Source organism: Homo sapiens, chromosome 7, assembly GCF_000001405.40.
Source record: "Homo sapiens chromosome 7, GRCh38.p14 Primary Assembly".
NCBI classification, from domain to species: domain Eukaryota; kingdom Metazoa; phylum Chordata; class Mammalia; order Primates; family Hominidae; genus Homo; species Homo sapiens.
The window spans coordinates 83,699,186-83,710,455 of NC_000007.14; the positions used below are offsets into that span (position 1 = coordinate 83,699,186).

Sequence of the window (11,270 nt, forward strand, 5' to 3'; positions counted from 1 at the left end):
TTTTTGGTACACTGCTATAATCCATTACCTTAAGCAGGATCTGACAATAGATGGGAATTAATAAGTTGTTGTTAATGGAATGAAGTGAATAAACACTCATGAGTGCCTATCTAGGCACTGTGCCAAATTCTAGAGACCAAATGATGAAGAAGACATAGAACCCAGCTAAAGAGACAGAGTATGTGAGGAAAGAGAAGATACAGGGTATATAGTAGGGAAAGAATTAAAGGAAATTGGTTTATGTGGCACGTGACTTTACTTTTTATTGTGTTTTCCGTTGATAATTAAAATTTACAATGTTTATGTAAATGACATTGAGCTTAATATATTTTTATGTAAAGAGCTCCATGACCATCCTCCCAAGAACATTTATACATGTCAGATACAAAGAATCAAACTGATATACTGAATAAGTAGTTTTTAAATACTGCTACTTATAGAAGAATAAACTGACATTAGCATTTTTATAAATTAGAGCTATAATGATTAAAAAAAATCAGCTATTTGAAGCAAGAAAATTAAGAACAAACTATCAGAATCCACCAGCCTAGCTCAAATGTATGAAGTGTTCCTATTTGGAAACATAACTTGGTTGACACATTGAATCCCTCTTCTAACACGTTACTCAAAATCATGTGTGAATTACATATGTAAAGCATAGATGACTTGGCTTAAGAATTTAAATGCCATCTTCTTCTTCTTCTTTTTTTGCTGCAGTTTGCTAGCTGTGGAAATGACACTAGCTATGACATAGTATATGCTGACTTAAGGCTACTTTATAGCAAATGTTTTGAGGATCTACATCCCACTGTAATACAGACACAATCATGTCTTTTACTAAATTTTAAACAGTAATAGGAAGAGTTTGTTGGATAATGAAATACATACGGATGAATCCAAGCAAAGAGGTGTTAGACAAAGTGTCAGATGAACAAAACAAACTGGAAGATTTTCATTCTTGGCTAAAAGTCTTCAGAAAATAACAAATTGTAAGAAAGTTATTAGTGATATTTATATTTTTTTCATTCAAATTACCTAATTGAGGGTCTGAAAATATGACCTCTCTATATTCCCATGTAAAAAAAAAATATTTGTTCTATTCAGTATTTTAATCAGACTGTTTATCAGTTCTCACTTGTGCATCCTTTTACATTTCTTACATATATATGAGTTGAATATGAAGTAATTTTACTTTTTGCTCTAGACATTGGGAAAAAAAATCCCAAATCTCAAATTTAAATGTTTTTTTAGGCTAGGTGCAAAGGCTCATGCTGTAATCCCAGCAATTTGGGAGACCAAGGCAGGAGGATCATTTGGGGCCAAGAGTTAGAGACCAGCCTAGGCAACATACCAAGACCTCATGTCTATAAAAAAAGAAAATAAATAGCCAGGTGTGTTGGCACACACCTGTAGTCCTAGCTACCTGGGAGGCTGAGGCAGGAGGATCACTTGAGCTCAGGAGTTCAAGGTTACAGTGAATTATGATGGCTCCACTGCACTCCAGCCTGGGTGATAGGCTGAGGCCCTATCCCTAAAAAAATAAAAACTTTAAAGTTTTTCACTTACATTTTTAACCCAGAGGATTAAATTATTCTATTGATTATCTTCTTTCTAATTACAAGTATATAGACTGTGCTATAAATATTCCAGAAAAAACTGGACGGTATCCACTATTATTCCATAAAATAACTTGGACTTTCAGAGAAGAATTAGAATTAAGAATTACTGGCCGGGTGCGATGCCTCAGGCCTGTAATCCCAGCACTTTGGAAAGCCAAGGCAGGTGGATCATGAAGTCAGGAGTTCGAGACCAGCCTGGCCAACTTGGTGAAACCCTTGTCTCTACTAAAAATACAAAAATTAGCTTGGAGTGGGTGCACATGCCTGTAATCCCAGCTACTCAGGAGGCTGAGGGAGGAGAATTGCTTGAACCCAGGAGGCAGAGGTTGCAGTGAGCCAAGATTGTGCCACTGCACTCCAGCCTGGGAGACAGAGCAAGACTCCATCTTGAAAAGAAAAAAAAAAAAGAATTACCAGTGCAACTAAGTACCCATTGATTTCTTACACTCATTGATGTTTGGAAGTTTGCAGTATGGTAAATAATTTATTAGGAAACAAGGGATTTTATCAGATTTTCTCTAACAAAATTATATTGTTTGATAATGAGTGATTACATGTAGGACTTCAATACTGTAGCAAATTAATATAATATTAAAAAGCACAACATTGTATTCAAATAAATAGAGCAGTGACCAAGTCTCACACTTCTGTGCTCTTTTCCATGCCCCACCTCCTCTGACTGGACTATATTCCTGCCTCCCTTTCACTCTTTCTATCCCTTCTTTTTATGTTATGCTTTTTCCACTTAAGCAAAAGAATAATTTTATTAGAAGGATACTGGAATATCTTACAAAATTTAGGAGCCACTAGACCTAGAAGCCAAAATGAGAAAGCCATAAGTGACCCAGTATTAAGTACTTGCTTTTCATCTCTTGCCTCTTCATCTCTCTGGGTACCAGTTTCTTTCACCGTTCTTTCCAAGCCTGGCTTTTGAGGTCTCTGCAAAGGATGGCAGACCCATAATTCTTGAATTTACATCCCCTAGTTCAAGTTACACCCACCTAGATTAAGTCCAAATTTCTAACTCCTAGAAGAGAACATCTGGAGTAGTTTGGGTCAGGGTTTTATTTATAGTCTAGTCAATTGTGGCCAGCAGAGAGAATCTAATAATAACAATATGCCTGTCAAGGATAAGTCCCTGGAGAAGGGTGTGGGGAAGGAAAGGCAATTCTCAGAAGTATGCTGTAACCTTCTGCTTGGCTAGCTTCCTATAAAACCATCAAGGGCTAATTTGGGTGTCATCTTTTCTGGTTTAATCCTTCTACCCCCACCACTATCCACATCTGGAGATAAATTTATAGAATTTAGTGCCACTAACTAAGCACTCATTTTCTGTTTCTCTCTCTTTCTCTCTCACTGTACAGGAACTTCATCTTCCAGCTTTGTGTGTCTAGTTTTGCTTTGTATCATTGTTCTATGGTAAGGACCTAAGAAATGTTTGTAGAATAAAAAGATCAATCCATGTATGAAGGAAGATTAAGATTCATACCTGACCCTGGTTCTTTGCTTGTTTGCCAAGTATCTATGGCAGTCTTTCATAACAAAAGAAACATAAATGCTTTCGAAATATATAGTGTCTGTAATTTTTAAAGACAATTAACTCTATCTTCTCTTTTTTAAACAACAGCTTTATTGAAATGTAATTCACATACCATCCATCCACTTACAGTGTACAATTCAATGACATTTAGTATATTCAGAGTTGCCCAACCATCATCCTAGTTTTAGAACAATTTCATCACCCCTAAAAGAGACCTTGTACCCTTCAGCAGTCACTCCCCATTTCCCTCCAGTCTACCAGTCCTAGACTATCACTTTCAGTCTCTATGGATTTGTGTACTCTGAACCTTTCATATTAGTGGAATCCTACAATGCATAGGCTTTTGTGACCGGCTTCTTTCATGTGGCATGTTTCCAGGGTTCATCCATATCAATTGCATGTATCAGTAATTCATTCCTTTTTATAGCCAAATACTTTCAGTTGCATGGCTATATCATATTTTATTTATCCATTCATCAGTTGATGGACATTTGGGTTGCTTCTGCTTTTAGGCTATTAGGAATAATGCTACAATGAACATTTTTTCATATCTGGAAGCCTAGGAGTGGAAATGCTAGATCATAAGGCAACTCATTGTTTAACTTTTTGAAGAAATGCCAGATTGTTTTCTAAAAGGCTGCACCATTTTTTGAAAGGATGTGAATAAATATTTGTCCAAAGATGTATAAATTGCCAATAAGCACATGAAAAATGTTCGACATCAATATTAATTAGGGAAATGCATATAAAAACCACTATGAGATGCATTTTACATCCATGAGAAAGGCTGTAACTAAAAACACAGATAATAATAATGATTGGTAAAGATGTGGAAAAATTAGAATCTTCTCTTTATTTTACAAACTCTCACTCTACCACAGAGTGACTGCCCAATGAGAATATTTATGAACTGACAAGCGCTCCAGTGCTATAATAACCATGGTATTATTTAAATATTATTGTAACATGACTTTTTAACTTTTGACATTATCTTTTAAAAAACTTGTAAATATAGATAAATGAACAAATATAAACATAATAGTATCATTTAAAATTTTCTGAAATTGTTTTTGAAGAAATAATTTTGGTATGTGTTTTTTTTTTAAAAAAAAGAAAGAAAAATACTAATATCAGTTTAGTAATCAAATAAATCTCCTTCCATTCCTGACCACTAGCCCCTCAATCCTCCTCCCTAGAAAAATTCTGTGCCAATTTCTTGCTTTCTAAAAACATTTCATTGCATAAGGTTCTCAGTATATATTGATAGTCTTTTAAAAGTTGTCATCAGTGCTAGCATACTAGCATAGCAGACTATACTGAACCATGCTTTTTTATTTTTGCGCAAACACACAAATATTTATTTTTAAATACAAAGATATAAAACTTGCCATAGTTGGAAATTTAAAAAATATATTGCAAATAAGATAGCAATCTGGTTACATTTTTAAGGAGATGGTGCCAAATTTTAAAAAAATCAACAAAGTATTTGTGGCAAATGTTTTTATTTTTATATTAACAACTTATCTTGAGAATTATTCTTTATCATTTCTACGTCATTCTTTGTAATGGCTATCTGATATTCTCTTTAATGTGTGTACCAGAAGATCACTGGAATTTCAGTACCATCTAATGACTCATACCTAAAAGTGTTTTTTATATATTCATCTTCCATTTATATGTATTGACATTGATTCCCTTTGCATTATTATCTTCCATCTTTCTTTTATAAAGTACTTATAATCTAATTTTCTGCTTTTGGCTCAATGAGAACAGAATGACATATCCCTTACAATACTGGAAGAAAGAAAAAAGTTGTTTTCTTGAAAATATAGCCAATAACATATATATTTATTTATAAAGATTTATGTATAAATTGTATGCTTATTATAAAATTATATATAAAATGTATTTATATATGACTACATAAATTATAAAATATAAATTATAAGATTATAACATGCATTTTAAAATTATATGCATATAATTTATGAAATATTCTTAAAATATGTTTACATGCATGGTTTGAAGACTTGGACTTTTAAAAAGTTAAGGTATATCTACTTACATTTTGCATGTTTTTAATATCCTTTTTAAAAATAGACACACAGGTGCTTTTGGTCATCTATCAGGACAAAACACTATAGACATTGCCCAGAAATTACTTGAGAGAAGCAACAGAAGAAGACGGTGGGTAAAATCCTAAGGAACACTGACATTGAATGATTGTGCTTATGAGGTGAGGATTAAAAGAGTTAGTAGCCTAGTCCGATTTTATAATTTGAAGCCTGACTTTTCTCCAAACCCAGAGAGGAGAATTTTAAGCAATACCACCCTGGTCAATCGTCAGGTCACTGGAAATCATTGCCTTTTCACCTGGAATGCATGCCGCATTGCCTCACACATGGCTAATCCTTCAGGTCAACATGTCTCTCCACATTCTTTGTGGTTCCTCATATTGTAAAATCAACCCATCTTGAGTTTCATTACCTCCAGTTTACTGCTGGGTGGTTGGATAATTAATGTTTTCCAGAAATTTGAACTGCTAGGTTAAGGATATGCCAGATAATACTTTTATTATAACAACTGCAGGGCTTCAAAGATGTCAAAAATCAGGCCCCAAGCAGAGTGCCTTGGCAGAAGACATATCCTGACTTCTCTTAAATTAGACCATAAAGTAGGAAGTTATATCACCATACTCTGTTTAAATTTCATACACTCTCTCTAGTTCTTTGCCCACTGAAGATGTTTTTTAATAAATTTATGTTGAATCAAGTTCCCTATTAATAATACCAAGAAGTTGTTACAATTGAGTTTATAATTTGAAGCCTGATTTTCTTATGTTCAGTGATTCATAGTTGAAAATCTCCTTTTTATATAGGAACTCAAGCAAATAAGAAGGCTATTTAAATTGTAATTAGAAAGCTAATTATATTTTGGGCAGAATAATTACTGCATTCTTCAGTTGAGAAAATGCTGCCTAGAAACTTATATTATTTTTTCATTACTTAATACAACAATGTGAGACTATGTCTACCTGAGATATACTGTAGTATCTAACAATATAAAATTATTTCTATCTAACTGCTTTGCTGGATTAATTTTATAGTTTAAGAAACTTTGAAAAATGTTTCATCATTAAGATAAGATTATCAAGTATAGTTCTTCATGACCAGCAGGCAGTTCTTCAGTCTTTTCTTAACCTAACTGGCTTTCTAGATTCTCTAATATTTAAGTTTCTGGTGTATGTTATCACTTTATATATATTTTTCTTTTAAAAGGTTTCTTCTTTAAAATTGTATTTACTCTAAAACAGCCTTAATCCCAAATAAGTAGCATACAAATAAACTTTGAATCCCATAGAATATATTCATTTAATAGGCAATAGTCAAACCTTCTCATGAATTAATAAAAATATTTTTCTATCTATCTTTAAAGCTACTTTTCTGTTGGGAGCGGTGGCTCACACCTGTCATCCCAGCACTTCAGGAGGCCAAGGCAGGCCGATCACAAGATCAGGAGATCCAGACCATCCTGGCCAACATGGTGAAACCCTGTCTCTACTAAAAATACAAAAATTAGCTGGACATGGTGGCGCGCACCTGCAATCTCAGCTACTCGGGAGGCTGAGGCAGGAGAATTGCTTGAACCCGGGAGGCAGAGGTTGCAGTGAGCCGAGGTCGGGCCACTGCACTCCAGCCTGGCAACAGAGCGAGACTCCGTCTCAAAAAAAACCTACTTTCCAGGCTGCTATTGTAGGCAGTCTACAAATTAGGCTGTTTTGAGCAGTTTTGTTTTGAGTTTTTGCCAAATTTGATTTGATTGACTTTTTCACCTTAATACCACAGCTGTTAAAATCCATTAGTCAAAGTACAAATACATCAACAATTGTTTTGACATTAAAAATATACAATTTAGAATGTTACAAAGGAGCTAACATAAATCTCTAAGAGAACTGATGAAGGTTATTTTCTCTTTCTCTCTATTTTTAAATTTGTGTTTAGCATGATTACAGTGATTATTTGTATGAGAGGAATGGAGTGCACATTATTTATCTTCTGGGCAATAATATTTATTACCTAAACACAGTTCTTTTATTACCTTTATTTTTTAACTTTTATAATAGTTTAAATTACAGACATAGTAATGCATTTTGTGATCTAACTGAAGTGACACCATATAAAAATGTATGTATGCAGAATGAGTATATCTCCCATATCCTCTTCCACTTTCACACCCACATGTAACCAATGTGAAAAGCCTGTTGTGATAGTCTTCAGCCCTGTTTCCTCACTCAATGTATACAAGCATCAATGCACATTAAGAGAGACATTTATGTTTATCTGATTTTTAAAATTAATACATCATACTATACATTTTATCCTGTACCTGATTAATTTTAATTAACCATGTATTATGGATACTCCTGCAATTCCACATGCATATCATCTGTATAATACTAAGTCTCAGACAACTCAAATAATAAAAGAATGAGCAAAGGATGTGAATAGGAAATAAAAAGAAAAGCCAGTGGAAATACAGAAGGCTAATAAACATGAAAAAACCCTCATTGTTAACAAGGAAAATGCAAATTTAAGTAATGAGACATCTCTTTATACCTATCAGATTGGCAAATATTTAAATGAATTAGGATGCTGGTCACAAATGAAGATGTAGGGAAAAAGCTGCATAAATTATAATATTTTTTAAAAAATAATCTTTTTTAAAATAGTGTATTAAAAATGTAATCTATCAATTATCTATCTGCTTATCAATAACCTATCATCTATTTAATTAAACTTTTAACCCAGAAATCCTAGGCATTGTTTTACTTTTAGATAGCTACTCCATATAAATAACAGCAATGACATTAAAAAATATAGGAACAAGATGTTCATGTGGGGTGTTACGATAGGTCATGGGAGGGAGTTTATTTGAGAGGGATGCAGAAGGGAAAGGATAGATTCAAGCAAAATAAAAAATTAAAAGACTACCAAAAAAGAGAGTAATCTTATAATTCCATTTATGTAAGATTATATTACATGTATATGTATATCTGTATTAGTTCATTAGAAAAAATTCTATATCAACCTAAAATTTTACATTATTCAGGAGAAGACTTGTATATACTTCTTTAACACATCTGATTCTGAGAACAGTTATAGTAAATATACTCTTATGACTGCAACTGGGAGTGACTTATTGCTCATAATACAATGTATAAAAGTTTTCCAAGGTTCATGCAGTCCTGCTACTTATTGTTTCATCTGTGGTGATTAGTTCTGTCTGTTAGTACTATTAAATAAGGAACTGGAACAAGTTTAATCTACTTTTTTTATTCAATAAACTGCAAGATCACTTTAAAGGACAAACAGCAGGAGTTGCCTCTTAAATATTTAAGAAAGATGAGAGTAATTAATTTCATGGTTAAAAGCATATTCATATTTTATTTTCATCAGTGGTTTTTCCAAATAATATCAATATCATTGTACTTTTAAAAAGCATGTAAAGATTCTATGCTTCTGCAAGTGACAGTTGGTGTGATTTTATTTTAACTTTATGCTACTTACCCATATTAGTGTTATATAGAATCCTGGGATATGAAATTTATAGGTAAGAATTAAGTATACAAGTATCAAATTAGAACTGCTTAACTTTTATTCTAAGCACAATAATTATGCAGTTAAAGGACTACAGACAATAAAAATAAGCATTAATTGTGGGTCTTCAGGGTTACATATATTTCCCAAGCATCTGTTTTTTGAGGTTTTGTGTTTTGTGTATGTGTTTTTTATTATTGGTTGTTTGATTTTGTTATTTTTGGAGATCCTAAAATTTTCCACTGAACATATTGTGGTAATTGTTTCATGTAATGTAATATTATTATTTTGTAGTTGTTCCATAGTTCTTGAATATTCTGCTCTGTTTTTTGTTGTTGTTGTTCTCTTTGCTTTTCAGTTTTGGAGGTGTCTATTGAGATATATATTAAAACTCAGAGATTCTTTCCTCAGCTCTATTCAGTCTACTAATAAGCCCATCAAAGGCATTTTTGTTTCTGTTACAGTGTTTTTGATCTCTAGCATCTTAGGGTTTCCATCTTTCTATTTACATTGCCCATTTGTTCGTATATGCTATCTACTTTATCCATTAGAGACCTTAGCATATTATCATAGTTTTTTAAATTTTCTGTCTGATAATTCCAATATCCCTGCCATGTTCAATTCTGATGCTTGTTCCTCTTCAGACTGTGTTATTTGCCTTTTAGTATGCCTTGTAATTTTTCCTTGATAGCCAAATACGTTGTACTAGGTGAAAGAAACTGCTATACATAGGCCTATAGTAATGTGGAGATAAAGTGTGTGGTGAAGGGAAGAGTTCTATAGTCCTATGATTAGGTCTTAGTCATTTAGTGAGTCTCTGTTCCTCTAGACTGTGAATTTTACATTTTTTTTAGTACCTGCATCCCCACTATTGGTACTTAGAAAACAATATCTCAGAATACGGGGCCTTGTGAGAGAGGAGAAGGAAGAAATGGGTCAAGCAGGCAGTTAGGGTGGGTCCTCGGTCCAATTATTTCAAACAGAAGAACAGCCTGAAAACTCAAGCTTCAGGTACAGATAAGGGAACTTCCATATTGGGGGGCTTGCCCAAGACATGCCCACAGTCTCATAGATAAGAAAGGCTACACAGGTGACTTGTTCAAACATGCCCTTAATGGACAATTTTATCCCCTAACACATGTGCAGTAAGTGGAACAAAGCAATATGGAGTAATTCAAGCTAAGGGCCTGCATGTGCACTAGGAGGACAGGGCAGAGCTGCCAGAAATTAGCACCTTATGCAAATGAGCTGCCCAGTCCTCACTGGTTTATTATAAAAGCCCTTGCATTCAACTGTAAAAACAGCAACCTTCTTCTAGGCCCACTCTCCACAGCAGAGAGCTTTCTTCTTTTGCTTATTAAACTTTCACCCTTTCACCTTCTAACCTCACCCTTTTTGTCTATGCTCCTTAATTCTCTTGGTCATGAGACAAAAACTCCAGGTGATACCTTACAAGTAGAGACTGCTACATTGTGGTGCACTGGTGAGACTGTAATACTTAGAGTGTTAACTGCTTCAAAAATGGAAAGTCCTTAGAAATAAGCCATCCAACCAAGTTTTCTCTGTGACTTTCCCCACAATCTCTGTCTTTCAATTCTCTCTCTCTCCCAAAGCACAGGAGGAGCCTGTTCTCTGAAGTTTCTTCATTTACCTAGATCCTCAAAAGATCTCCAAAGAGAAACACAATTGTCTTCTATTCCTTTGCTGAAAGGTGCAGTGAAGGGGGAAGATTTCTTCACTCCTACACCACCTTTTGGTGTGACAGGATGACCAGAGCTGGCTGGAATTGGGTATTTCTCTTTTTCCAAATCAATTAGGCTCTGATAAAACCCCAGCAGGTTAGGCTCTGGTTAAGTAGTTTTACCTGAGGGCAGATCTTCTTAAGAAGAACAGAATGTTTTAGTGTATAGTAAGGGTTCACTTAACTTTGTCAAAAGGTTCTTGGAAACAGTAACTTTAAAGGAGACAACATATAAGGAAACCAATTTTTTTTGTTGTTTTCTCATCATCAACCTTATAATGAAAAGACTTTCAACAAACCGACATTATTCTAGGACCTGCTCTTCAGTTATTTCATTAAAGCTGCGGTTCCCAAGGACCTGTCTATGATATTAAGTGAGTGTATTTCAAAATGGTTTCTTCCTCCCTCTGCTGCCAGAAACAGGAAATAATTTTTCCTAAATATTTATTGTGAGAATTTGGTCATATTCCTAGAAGTAAAACTCACAAAAGTGTGGGGACTCCTGATAACTGAAGTTATTAAGTCTCTGACTCCTCTACACTTAGCCTCCAACAATTACTCCATTACAGTTCAGGTTTTCTACCCAGGCACTGGTTCCCACATAGGTTTCTGCTCTGGTAGGCTAAACTGTGTAACCACCCTACAAATTCTTCCTGCCTGCTGCACAAAATCAACTCACAGAGACCACAGCATTGCAGTAAAGACAGTTTAACTGATGCAAGGCCAGCTAGGCCACATGGAAGACAGAGTTATTACTCAAATCAATCTCTCTG

The 11,270-nt window shown here is 34.2% G+C and overlaps 1 annotated feature.

The window, feature by feature from the left end:
- Positions 9,303-10,502: an enhancer, noted in NCBI's record as "BRD4-independent group 4 enhancer chr7:83337804-83339003 (GRCh37/hg19 assembly coordinates)". NCBI's record gives its function as "activates an origin of replication core promoter dependent on BRD2, P300/CBP, MED14 and CDK7 cofactors, and independent of BRD4, by STARR-seq in HCT116 cells {active_cell/tissue: HCT116}" and the evidence as "EXISTENCE:reporter gene assay evidence [ECO:0000049][PMID:35650434]".